The sequence below is a fragment of the Homo sapiens genome, chromosome 13 (genome assembly GCF_000001405.40).
Source record: "Homo sapiens chromosome 13, GRCh38.p14 Primary Assembly".
NCBI lineage: Eukaryota > Metazoa > Chordata > Mammalia > Primates > Hominidae > Homo > Homo sapiens.
In genome coordinates, this window is record NC_000013.11 from 85503283 (window position 1) to 85517768 (window position 14486).

The 14486-nt window shown below is 37.3% G+C and overlaps 1 long non-coding RNA gene across 1 annotated transcript in view; it reads left to right on the forward strand.

Annotated features, from left to right (window-relative positions):
- The window catches only part of LINC00351 (long intergenic non-protein coding RNA 351), a 181060-nt gene that overhangs the window by 139680 nt on the left and 26894 nt on the right, over positions 1-14486 (forward strand). The window lies entirely within an intron of this gene.

A 14486-nucleotide genomic window follows, 5' to 3' on the forward strand; every position in this document is an offset into this window, starting at 1 on the left:
GGGGCCACATGTCCAGTGTGTTTACTGGAGTTGTACACATTCTTCCTTGAGGCATTCCTCCCTTACCAGTCGAATGTTCCTAGAAGGTCATATACCAGGTAAACTCTGCCATTTTGCCTTCTCATGCACATGCCCGAGCCCACTTGCCCAACTCCTGAGATCTTATAGGGAAACTGATGATCACCAGTTTCAGGTGTTCCTATCTGTGGAAAGACTGTCTTTCCCTGGCCCTGGCTGTGACCAATTTTTATTTTAGAGAGACAGTGTAACAACCACCTGCCCATCACCTCATGGTCGTCTGACATTCCTGGTTGAGGGGGTTGGGGCCTTTCTGCCCTACTCATGTCTGACTAACTACCTACTATAACCCAACCTTCTAAATTATTCTGATAGTCACTTAATTTCTAGAATGAAAATTATTTTTACTAAGTTTAATTAAAATAAATCAAAAATACTCTGAATAATTGTAAGTAATAACCAATAAAATGGAAATCCAAGATTGGGCATCTGATCTACTTGGGGGTGAAGGCATTAAAGATCTAATCAGCATTAAAAAATGAGATACTAGGAGTCCATGGAATGTGGTGATACGTTTTTAGGTATGCTGCCGGAAGCTATTACTGAATAACACATATGGCTGCCAAAAGTCTTCTGGCCTTCAGTCAACAAAGGATAAGTTTGTCTAGTAGGAGTCTGCTGGAAGAAAGGAGCATTGTAATATTGCCTTTATGACCCACTGGGATTATCTTTTGACTGATCAAGATAATATATAGTATATAGGCAATGAGTCAAACAATAATAGGAGAAAAGCAGTGTAGTAACTTAGGATTTTGGAGTAAATCCATGCACATCTCATGAAACAAGTCTCATGAAAACAGACCTTGCCTTGCTTCTGAGTCCTAATAGAGGTTGAATATCTCAACTTAGAGCATCAAATGAGTATGACTACTAAAATGTTTGTTTAAAATGTTGCTGTTGTCTGATCCACCTAGTCATATTTTTTGTCGGGCAGCAGAATCAAGTGGAAGTTGTAAATATGACCTCAGACACAAGCAGGTTCTTAAGACATAAGCACCTTTATGAACTTGTGGCTCATTGCCAAGTACATCTCCTCTTTGATGAACTTCTGCCTTTACTCAACTCACATTGATAGCCTCAATGCTCAGATTATCAAAAAACAAAACATTAATATGCTTGAAAGGTAATTCTGCATGATATGCTGACACTGGGCAATAATGAACTTCTGTAGACTATAGCTCATGCAAGGTGGCCCAAGGCCCTGAGAACAATTTTCTATGTCTGTATTAGTCTGTTCTTGCACTGATATAGAGAAATACTTGAAACTGGGTAATTTATAAAGAAAATAGGTTTAATTGACTCACAGTTATGTAGGCTGTACAGGAAGTATGGTGGCTTCTGCTTCTTGGGAGGCCTCAGGAAACTTACAATCACGGCAGAAGGTGAAGGTGAAGTAGGTACATCTTACATGTCCACAGCAGGAGGAAGTGAGGAGGGGGGTGCCACATACTTTTAAACAACCAAATCTCATGAGAACTCTATCCCAAGAACAGCATCAAAGGTGGAAATCTGCCTCCATTATCCAATAATCTCCCATCAGGCCCCACCTCTAACACTGAAGATTATAATTTGACATGAGATTTGGACAGGGAAACGGATTCAAGCCATATCAATGTCTGATATGACCATCCATCTGATAAATGCAGATGCTCAATTACATTTCACTATGTCCATCATGTAGTGTATGACAATTTGTCTTTGCCAGAATAAACAATTATATTGGGGATAGATTCACTATCCCAGCCCACCATACCTCTCACAGTGGCACCACTCAAAAATTTCTTGAGTATCTTCTAAATTACTGTGACATCCCATTTGATTTTGTTTCTGAACACAAAATCAGTTTACATTTTACAAAATGTAAAATTTACATTTTGTTTTACAGTTTACATTTTACAAAATTTACAAAATGAAAATTTTACAGTTTACATTTTACAAAAAAGGAGACCAGTCACTAGAAAAATTTAAGATTAATTGATATTATCAAGTTTCTCAACAAGAAGTTGCAGCAGATATTAGGAGTACATGAAATTGAGCTCCAGAAGACTCAGTTAGAAAGTCAGCTGCGAGATAAAACTTGCAACTTCAAGGTGGTGTACCACAGGATTTGGTATATGTTTTGAGATAATACATAGTGCTTAATGCTATCTCTCTCATTGCCAGAATATATTGGTCCATAAACTAAGGGGTAAAAGTGGAAGTATTACTTCTCATAGTTACAAACCTGCAAATACTTTGTTTCCATTCTCCACGCCTTTCAGTTTTTGCTTGTTCAGAGGTTTTAATTTCCAAAGGAAATGCTTCTACTAGGAGACACAATGACATTTCCAATACTCTGGACATTTTAGACTGTGATCTGGCAATTTTGGGGTCCTTATGACCAAATAAAGACAAGAAAGGAAAAATATGTGACCTGGATTATGATCATAAGAGGGAAAGAGAGTTGCTGCAACACAATGTTGGTAGAATGGTCTACACATATATGAACCTGGGGGAGCACTCATAGGACTCCCATCCCAGTGATAAGACTGGAACAATAAAATACATGGAAAAATCATGGAGGTTCAGATAATTCAGTAAAAAGATTGATGTCATAGCATGTAGAAGAATCTTGTCCAGAGGAGATGCTATCTCTAAGCAAAGGAAATGAAATGGACAGTGAGAGCAGAAGATGCAACTTTTCTAAATCATTATACACATAACAAGATGGCTCCAGGATGTCCATATCAATAATCAACAGAACTAACAGGATGAATAAGCAAATTAAGTATCAACTATATGACTTTTAACACACTTCTCTGTCAGTAGCCAAAAAATACAAAAAATCAGTGAATCTATAGTTAATATGTGTAACATAATTAACAAATTTGACTTAATTGACAAATATGAACCACCATATTAAACAACTACAGAATGTATGTTCTTTTCAAGAACATATGCAAATTTATAAAATTTCAAATCCTATATCAAGTCCTAAACAATTAAATCATTAAGTGTATATTTCCAATCGCAGTAGTATTAAAATGAAAATAAATTACATAAATAAAACCAGAAAAGGCCAACAATGTGGAAATTAAGTAATAGACTACTAAACAACCCAAGGGCCAAAGATGTAATCACACTGGAAATAGGAAAGTACTTTAAAAGATGAGGAAAATATGCTATATTAAGACTTGTAAGATGTAGCTAAAGCAGTATTTAGTAAAAAAAGTATTGCCTTAAATTAACATATAAAAAGACTGTCTAACATGAAACAATTTAAGCTTGCATAATTAGAGGCAAGAAAATGAAAAGCTTGTATAAAGCCTAAGGATATTAAAAGGAAATATAGTAAAGATAACAGCAGAAACCAGTGATATGAAGAACAAATGTGTAATAGTAAAAAACTAAAATTTAAATGTTACTGCCTTGGAAATATCAATAAAATTGATAAGCCATTAGACTGTTCATAAGAACAAAGGAGAGAAAACACAAATTACTAATATTAGAAATAAAAAAGTATGTATCAATATAGACTTAAGAGGCCTCAAAAATTTTAATGAAGAATACTGAGAAATTTTTAACAAATACATTTGCTATGTTGAGTGAAATAAATTTATATTCCAAAGAATACAACTTACAACTAAACAACAAAAATAAAACAAAAAAAGAAGGAAAAGATATTCAGTCATACTCTTAGGTGACAGAATACTAGTTACACTTGCAGAGGATGGAATTCTGGAGGGTACTTCTTGAATGTTGTGTCCTATTTCTTGGTAGGAGTATTCCATATTTTATGTCATCTTTGTAAAAATTTACAATTGCATAGACTATAATATGCCAGGGTCATTTATTTTATTGTTCAAAACATCTATATTTAAGTTTTGAAAATAAAATAAATGACAGTACTATTGGGTTATAATCCACAGAATAAAATAAGTATCCGTGAGTTTATGCTGATATAAAAGTTATTTATTTAGAAAATTCAGGCGGGGCACGGTGGCTCACACCTGTAATCCCAGCACTTTGGGAGGCCAAGGCAGGTGGATCAAGAGGTCAGGAGTTCAAGACCAGCCTGGCCAACATGGTGAATCCCCCATCTCTACTAAAAACACAAATATTAGCTGGGCATGGTGGTGTGCACCTGTAATCCCAGCTACTTGGGAGGCTGAGGCAAGAGAATTGTTTGAACCCGGGAGGCGGAGGTTGCAGTGAGCCAAGATTGTGCCACTGCACTCCAGTCTGGGCAACAGAGCAAGACTCTGTCTCGGAAATAAATAAATAAATAAATATTTAATAAAAACATATAGAAATAGTGAGGAAAATGGAAATCTGTCTTTAAATTTCATAACATTGATGGCAGTGGCTGTACATATGAAGCAGCCACTGAGGGGATGCCAGCTACAATGGGGGAGGCGTGGATGGGGCTGTGTTCCCCTTGCAGCCAGTGGGAACCAGAAATGGGGGGAGCTTTGTGCCTGACCAGGTTGGCAGGGATAGAGCCCTGTGCTTCTAGGCATAGATGCAGCTACCCAACCATGGCTCCAGACCCGGGTATCACTGAGCTCTCAGGAGCCCGGAAAGCCCCTCTGCCCCTGCAGGCCCAGAAGCACCTGCTCCCATTCTTCTCCACTCCTGACGGCCACTCTGATTTTGGAGCAAAGTTGAAGCTGAGCCCAGGCACTGTCACGACTCGGCCAGGTGTGTGCACACTCAAGGTGGCACTCACATGCCAGCCTCTTGCCACCTTGGCCCCCTCTGGACTTTGGGTACCAATAAGTGCAGGAGGGAGGCTGGGGGAGCTGAAGGCAGCTCAGCGCAGGCCTGCAGGCATCCCTCAGCATGAACAGCCTGGGTGCTGTGGACAGCATGTTGATGGCAGAGGCAGAGATTCCTGGGCAGAAAGGGGTGGATCCCTGGTGAAATCCCACCTTCTGGCCAGGGACGGCCTGAATCTTGGGCTGCCAGTTGCAGATGGAGTGTGGGCCTGGAGTGAGAACCTACGGTGCTTTTTCTGGGCCCATCCATGGCCACCCATGGACCAATCATCACATACTTACTCCCTTCTGAGCCCATAAAAACCTCTGGACTCAGCCAGACTCACACAGATGTCAGGACTACCAGCGGTGGGAAGGAGCTACCCACTTCAGTTCTCCTCGACTTGTTGGGAAAACCTAACTGTGATAAAGAGCTATGCACTGCAGGCTTCCTATTTGCTGAGAGCTGGACACTTGTTGGGACAACCTGCCTGCATAAAGGAACTACCCACTTCAGGTCTCCTGAGAGCTGTTCTGTTACTCAGTGAAGCTCCTCTCTGCCTTGCTCACCCTCCAGTTATCCACATACCCCATTCTTCCTGGATTCAGGCCAAGAACTTGAGACCCACTGAGTGGCAGGACTGAAAGAGGTGTAACACAAATAGGGCTGAAACACATCCCCTGCTTGCCAGGTTGTGAGCCTCTAGAAGGAGGGAAGAGCTGTGGTCCTTTGCGGAGCCCAGACCTAGGGACTCCCTGAGTCAGGGCTGTGACACTCACTTTGGGCTCTGCGGTTTCTGGCATCTCTAGGCTTCCTGGCACCACCTTGCTCCCCTCTTCCAGATATGGGTGTCTGCAGCAGAAGCTGCATGCAGTACATCTGGTCCAGCTGTAGCCTCATATGGAGCTGGCACCTGTGCCAGTGCCTGCAGCTGCCTGCCCCGCTGCAGCAGCCAAATGTGCCTGGCAGTGTGCAGTGGTTGGACCCTGCGCTGGCTCGACCATACACCCCTCGCTGCTGTAGGCCTGGCTTGCCCTTGGCAGTTGTGGGATCTGGGCTGATAGTGTAAGCGGAGCGCAGCCTACTGGGCTGAGTGGGCGGAATGAGCCCAGCAGGCACAAGCAATACTCAAGCAGAAGGCACCGCTGGCCACAGAAGTTTCTGGCCGGTGAAGCAACACCCCAAAGATCCTGCGACAGCATCTGCTTGGAAGTTTCTCTAGAACTATTTTCATAATCACTGTTTTTATTCTTGGCTGGATCTAATCTACTGAAAAGCCTATCAAACACATTGTTTATTTCTGTTACTTTGTTTTTGTTTTTAAAAATTTCTGGTAATTCTTTCTTATGCTTTCTTACATTTCCCATCTTTTCTTCTTACATTACCCACCTGTTTTGGTATATCCTTTATATTAGAAGGCATACAAAATTTTCCATATAGTAGATTTTCCAGCTACTTTTTCCTTTAGAGCCTGAAACATATTAATCATAGTTCTGATGAAATCTTGGTCATTTAGTGGGCCTGTGTCTCCGGGCTGTGGCATTCACAAATATTTATTCAGTGATATAGCTGTTTTTTCTTTTTAACCTCCTGCTCTTTTCTCTATTCAGTGACAACAGCAACCTGATCTACTTTCTTCAAGCCCTGACTCGCACTAATTTTGCTCCCCGCTACGCAATAGCAGACAGTGGAAGGCTGGAGGGAGCTGATGTGGAAGCAATGCCCTAAGCTGGTCTAAAGTTCTGGAAAAGTCTTTCTCTGTAAAGGTTTTTGTTCTTGTTGTTGTTTTAATGGTCTTTGGGTGTATTTCACAGTGATTACTATATCCCCTCTCAGACAGAGCCATGAGGGGTTGTCTTCTCCGTGGAAATCTGATCATGTTCCTGGAGAGAAAGCCTGTGAAAGCTTGAGGGATCCCACTAAGACTGTGGCCCACACAGAGTTTCTGACTCTCATGCTAGTTCTTACTTGTCCTCTAGTAATTTATCAAAATTTACCATGTAAGAGTTCATACTAGCTTTTGGCTCCAGATATGCAGATCTTGACTGTGTCTCTCTTGATGTGGCTGCCTTTCCAGATTTGAGGATGGTGGTTTGCCTCACAACATCAGTTCTCCATGTGGTCTAAGAAAACCCATCGATTTTCAGTTTATCCAGCTTTCTCTTTTTATAAGGATTTGAGTGTAGACAGTAAGGTCTTTATATAATAGAAGTTGTCCTGCCAATAGTTTTTGGATCCATCTACATTCGGATTCTTTCTGTTGTTTAATCTGGTTATTCTTCTTTCTACTACATGTTTTTGCACTTGCTTTACTCTGTCTCAAATGCTCTCCATTCCAGTCTTCAACTAGATAGCACTTCCTTCCAAACTGAAATAATGTTTACCAGGAGAGTTCTTCACTATAACTCTAACGTTGCTACCACCACACTGTACCTAGACATATACAACTGATGCTGTTATTTCTATTCACATATCTTACTATTTCTTGTTTACTTGTATTTGCAATTTTAACTGAAACTATGTAGTTCAATTAATATATGTTATTGCAAAGAGTCTCTTAGCTCCAGTAAAGGAAAATAAATATCTGTTCTTGTTCATTGGTGTATATATAACTGTTTTTTCGAAAGATAGCCATTATTTCCATTTAAGGATTAAAAAAATGGATACAGAGAGAATGAGATAAAATAAATGTATGTCTTTATTATTGACATTTCTATTATTATAATATCTCGTTAAAATAAGTAAAATTAGCAACAATTGCCTGCTAAGAGCAGTAGCTTCTTTTGGAAAGTGGTAATACTGGCCTAATGTTTATTTTAGGGAAGATGAAAATAGAAAATATTCTAAAGCTCCATTTCCCACAATTCTGAATATGTCGTAACTTCCATTTGAGTTTTGTATTACAGTGATACTGATAAGATATTTTAAGTGATAAATTATGGGTCCAAATTTAGCTTACACTGAAAATATCAGTATCACTATCATTTATATTACATTTAAAATGTCTTATTAGTATCACTATCACTATAAGTGTTCAGTGTATCACTTAAATGAAAGTTACTACATATTTGGAATTTTGGGGAAATGGAGCAACAGAACAGAACATTCAATATCTTATTTAATTTTAAAATACATAAAGTGCGTCTGTGTGTATCTGTATATGTATATATGTATGAACTTGTGAAAGTGCAGTCAATCCTCAGTGTCACACACCTGCACGCCACATACACACACCCATGCAGTGTCACAAAAACAGTGACTGCACCCTCACATGTTCTCACAGCATGATGGCATGAGGTTATGTTCCTATTTATCCAAACAGTCCCTGCTTATACGTGCATTTGTCACCACATAGTTGTTATTAAAATATCGATACTATCAAGTCATTTAGTTGGAAAGATTATCATGTGGAAGGCAAAATCCATTTGTATTATGCTTTTATGTACCCTTCCTATGAAGGTATTTACTCCCTGTATTATCTATTTAAATGAACAAATATTATAAACTAACAAATATAAATAAAAAATGCAGAGGAAAAAGCTTGCATATTTCAATATGCCTTGAAATCTTACCTTCCATCTAAACATGCTAAAATGTTAGACAAGATCCAGGGGTGAGGAAAAGCAAGGTTTTTCCTGCTGAAGTGTGCACTAGCAATGGTAAAAGAGTTTGAGAGGAGAGGCCGGGTGCGGTGGCTCTCACCAGTAACACCAGCACTTTGGGAGGCCAAGGCAGGCAGATCACCTGAGGTTGGGAGTTCGAGACCAGCCTGTCCAACATGGAGAAGCCCCGTCTCTACTAAAGACACAAAATTAGCTGAGTGTGGCAGCGCATGCCTGTAATCCTAGCTACTTGGGAGGCTGAGGCAGGAGAATCGCTTGAACCTAGGAGGTGGAGGTTGCAGTGAGACAAGATCATGCCTGGCATTCCAGGCTGGCAATAAGAGCACAACTCCATCTCAAAAAAAAAAAGAAGACTTTGAGAAGAAGCTAAAGAAGACCAAATATGAAGAGGGGAGTCCTGTTATACTCATTGCTTTCAATATAAAAAGCAGTCTTTAATGGTACAGATAAATATGTAGAATTGCTTGTTAGCTAAAACTGTCTTGAGTTGTTTATTTCTCTGATAATCTATTTTAATAACTGGCAATTTTTATAACTGTTAATATATTACTATAAATCAACCACAGTATTATTACTATATTTCTACTTGAAAAATAATACTTGAACGTTAACCATTAAAATAGGACAGTTTGTAAATCTCACGTTTTTCTGGCCTTGGACAAACACTACTGAATTATTGAGAATGAATTGCCCACTGCAGCTTGGAATAATCAGGGAAGACTTCTCACCGATAAAGGATCTGAAGTATGAACAGAAACAATACAAGCAGAGAGGAGTGCATTCTCCGGTGTCTGGAAAGGTAATATATAAGGCATGTCGGTTGATCTGCATCTGGGAGAGTTCACGGGGAGTATGCAGGACTTCCATTGGGAAAAATGTGAATACTCATAAAAATATGACGTTAAGCCTGTTTGCGGGAGTTGAAAGACACATTAGAGGAACATTTATCTTACAGGAAGTACTAAACCTTTGGAGGTATTTGAGCAAGTGGGTGCCAACATGTACAGCAAACAAAAAACATGTTTGCCCTGGAAGATAACTTTCTTTGATATTTAGAGGAAAGAATACTGGCCCCAAGAATATCTCAATCCGTAATACTATGATAATTGATCTGAAAAACTGAACACATGAAATCTTCCTTGCAAACTGTTTGACTGCTGTTTCTCACACAAGCCTGTTCTCCCTCTCCATATGTATTATGTTTTAATTATTTGGTTAATTACATGTATTTGGTTATACATGTTCAGCTGTTCTTAATTTTCTTTCACAAATCTCTATTTGGATATGTCAAATACCTACTAGATCCAGCGAGGACTCTGGATTTTATTAATGTTACTGCCTTTATCATTCTGACCCTTTAACACTTTCACACTCACACATAAGAACTGTCATGGTTTTATTCCTCCCCCTTTGTATTTCTTATTCTCCAAAATGAATTCCCATTTCCTTCTCTCTACTTTCATTAGCAACTAATGTACCAAATCTTTTCTGTAATCACAAGTCAGCATGGTGAATGTTTATTTTCAGAACCCATAACTACACCACATTGCTTTTTTTAGCTTTCCAGAATTGCACTGTGACTATGATACCTTTACAATAGCAATTTCACAGCTTTTACGATAAACATTATTATATTTCTCACTTTGACCATTTAAAACAAGGTTGTTTGGTGAAAAATACACTCAGCTGAAGGTTTTCAATCTGAACAGTGTATGACTTTGAATTGCAAAAATGCATTATGTAAATTATCTATTATTTTTATGCCATCACCAGCCCAAGAGCATGTAATAGAGTAAAAAAGTCTTTGGTGTATACTGTTTATAACTTTTCTTACTTTTGGCTACTAAGAGATTGGGAGAAAAACTTTCTATTTGTGAAGATTTATAAGCATCTTAAAATTGGTATTTAAATAGATGAATTATTTACTGAAATAGTAGGTTTTAATTAAAGCTGCATAATGAGTAATGTTACAGCACAGTACAAAAATTTGTCTTACAAGATTAAATTATTGTTTTATAAACCTTACATGATTTATGCAATGCTAATTAAAGTGTAATGAAGTAATGTCATCAACACATGACTAACGCTTCTCATTTCAAAAACTACTTATGCAAGTTTTGTTTCTTAAAATGGAATTTGTAATTTATTTTTCTGTAGTACTTACATAGTGTGTACTCATTAGGATTTAATGAAAAACATTTACATGTGATTTAAACATTGCTTTTTATTAAAATTATATTTCAACTCTGAATCAGTTTGAACTGTGGCTATTTTTTTCCATACATGTCTTCAATAAGAGATCATCTTTTTGATTTTCCAGAGAATCAGTTCACATCTGCTTATATAAAAATTGCATTCTTTATAGATATCTAATTATTGCTAATCTACTGTGCTTGAGGGAAAGGAAGCTGTATTAAGCTAGCTGACATGAAATTCAAGAACACTGAACCAAAACTTAAAAAGTGGAGGGAAAAAAAAGCAAAAATGCTGATGACTGAGGAATAAAATATAAAGCATCTAATCCTTCCAAATGTTGTAAGTAGTTTTATTATCTTTGTTCATTTTGTCTTTGTTGACCAACATTGAATTATAATTACCTTAATGCTCCAAAAAATAATAACAACAAACTTCCAGAGGAAGTAAATATTGCCATTACAATTTCCTTCTAAGATACTGATAAGCATCCTTAAAACTCATAAATTTTATCAGTCTTTCAGAAAAGAAAAAAAAATGATGGAATTGGCTTTTAATTCTGATGAGTTCTAATATAGTTCACTCCTGTTAAATACTCATAAAAGTATTTAATCTAGGAAAGATCAAATAAACATTTAGGCACATTTCTTTCTGATTTGGCATATGATTTGAAATGGAATCTTTGTACTCCATAGAAGTATTAATTAGTTAAAGAAACATTATTTCCTAAAGGATGTCTCATGAAAAAGATCCAAAAGTTGCTTTTTAAAACAAGGTTCACAGATCAAACATCTTGAGAAAAAAAATATGTTCCATTATCCACTAAGAGAGTCACAGTCAGCTTAAAATACAAAAAAAGGATTTGGAAAAAAATTTTTAACTCTAAAGTTTTCAAATGTTTTTCACCATGGACTCTAATTTTTATGAAGGAACTCAAACATCTTAAGCATTGTTCCTCTTATGGCACCCTGCTTTGTGGCCATTGTGTCTAAGGATGTGTGGTAATATAAGTGATGATAATAGATAAAAGTACTTTATTATACATACGGGAAAGAAAAGATTGCCAAAAGGAAAAGTGAATTGTTTAAGTTTAGTTGCAGTATCGAAATGACTGCTGGTGGGCCGTGCGCGGCGGCTCATGCCTGTAATTCCAGCACTTTGGGAGGCTGAGGCGGGTGGATGACAACGTCAGGAGTTCAAGACCAGCCTGGCCAAGATGGTGAAATCCCGTCTCTATTAAAAATACAAAAATTAGCCTGGCATGGTGTTGGGTGCCTGTAATCCCAGCTATTTGGGTGGCTGAGGCAGGAGAATTGCTTGAATCCTGGAGGTGGAGGTTGCAGTGAGCTGAGATTGCACCATTGCACTCCAGCCTAGGTGACAGAGCAAGACTCCATCTCAAAAAAAAAAAAAAATTGACTACTGGTTCCAACTCCAGGGTCAGTGGAGGAAAGCGGGTATGGTATTACTGGTTTATAATGGTAATGAAAATTACCATACGTCTTTCACTTTTGTTTACTCAATTGTTATTTTGAGGATGTATATTATTAATAAATACGTACTCAGACATGATCCTGATACAGTCTGTAAATTTCTAAAACATCTTAAACAAAAATAAAAATAATGATATGACTTTGATAAAATATTTTTAAAGATAACTTGATCAGTCTCTTTTTAATCTTTGTTTCAGAATTAATATGGTATAATGTTACCAGCTTAATTCCAATGATGAAATTGAAACCAGACCAATTGTCCCAAAGAACTGATATTTTTAGTCTTTTTAAATAAATATAGAACTTGAACCTCCTATCTTAATGCTTGAAACTTATATTTGTCTTATCTGAGTCCCTTCCTCAGGAAACCACTCTCAGTCTTCCCAAATAGTATCAAGGGACTGAAACTCACCAGATCACCACATTCAGACACTGGGAAGACACCCCTTTATCTTTCATGGTTTCCTTTCCCCTCCCTAGTACCTGTTTACCTGCATGTAGTTACATTCCTTCCTGGCTACATAAACCCCCAGTTTTGGTTGGCCAAAGAGATGGATTTGAGACTGATTCCTGTTCTCCTCACTGCAGCACCCAAGTAAAGCCTTCTTCCCTGGCAATATTTGCTGTCTCAGTAATTGGCTTTCTGTGCAGTGAGTAGCAGTACCTAGACCATACACTGGTGTTTTGATAACAGAATCTGCATTTTAAATGGTTAGTAAACGTGTAATTTTCATTTTCTTCATGTGATACCAGAGGTTTAAGTAGTTTTCAATAATTTAAGCATTTATTACATAGGCAATTCAACCACGTGAGCAAATAGCTCATTCATATATAAACACTTTCTAAAATGTGATCTTAGCATTAAATCTTAGTGATTTAATGGATAGACCTATTGCCTTGGATTGAAACATCTAGAGTGTACAGAGAACTATTTCTTTTTCATACCAGGTCTAGGCAAGGCTTGAAAATATAAAGCATGTTATAATGTATCCTCTGACATCAAGGAGTTTAGAAGAGATTCAGTGAAAATCCATTAATGCTATTGAGTTGCATGTGGCTGTAACAAGTAAGTGAATGGCATAAACATGCAACTGAACTACATTGATGATCACTATACTTTGATTAGATTACACTAAATGGAATAACTAATCTCCCTTTGGAGTGAGATATATAATATTAGTATTTTAATTGTATCCCTAAATTTTGAAAATTGAGCCAAATGAGAAGTAATATTTATCAGTCTTGAGATACTTGATTTTTTGGCAGAATATCAAGATTCAGATCCTTTCTTACCCCAGTTTTTACTTTATGATTGAGGGTTGGCTTGTTGACATTTTTGTGCCTCCACTATTCTCATCAATACCAATTTGGATAAACATACCCTGCCTAACCATTTTGCTAACATTCCTATTAAAAGTGTTACTCAGTATATGTTAACATACATAACCATAGCTTTATTTTATGAAATTCACAGTTTAGTATACCTTTTATAGGAAAACCTAGTTTAATAATTAAATATTATAATAATACCCTTCAGTTTTTTGAATGATGCAATCCATTATAAAAAATGAATTGAAAGTAATATTAAAAGGAGATTTTCAATAGAAAAGTCATTATTTAAACATGCTTATAAGTTTTGACTCCTTTATATTTTTTAATTTGTGAATTTGTAAAGTTTAAGAAATGATTAAAATTATGAAAATTTAGGTTGTGTACCTTGAATCACAATAAATATAAACTAATGTTTAAAAAATGGCCATCATAGCAACCATACCAAAATATGTATTTTAAATGGTTGAATTTTTTTTCAGAATAATACATCTATAAATGGTGTACATAGTAACATTTAAAAAAATAATTGTTTGCTGTTTGTCTAATTTTTATTTTCTTCATCTAATACCAGTGGTTTAAGTAGTTTTCAATAATTTAAGCTTTTATTACATAGGCAATTCAACCACATGAGCAAACAGCTCATTCACATATAGGAACTTTTTTTTTTTTTTTTGAGACAGAATCTCACTCAGCCGCCCAGGCTGGAGTGCTGTGTGCAGTGGCGCCATCTCGGCTCACTGCAAATACCGTCTCCCGGGTTCAAGCGCTTCTCCCATCTCAGCTTCCCGAGTAGCTGGGATTAGAGGTACCCGCCATCATGCCCTTCTAATTTTTGTATTTTAGTAGAGATGGGGTTTCACCGTGTTGGCCAGGCTGGTCTTGAACTCCTGACATCAGGTGATCTGCCCACCTAGGCCTCCCAAAGTGCTAGGATTACAGGCATGAGCCACCGCGCCCAGCCCACATATAGGAACTTTCTAAAATGTAATCTTAGTCTTTTTTTCTTTATATGTGTTCCTTACAATGTAGT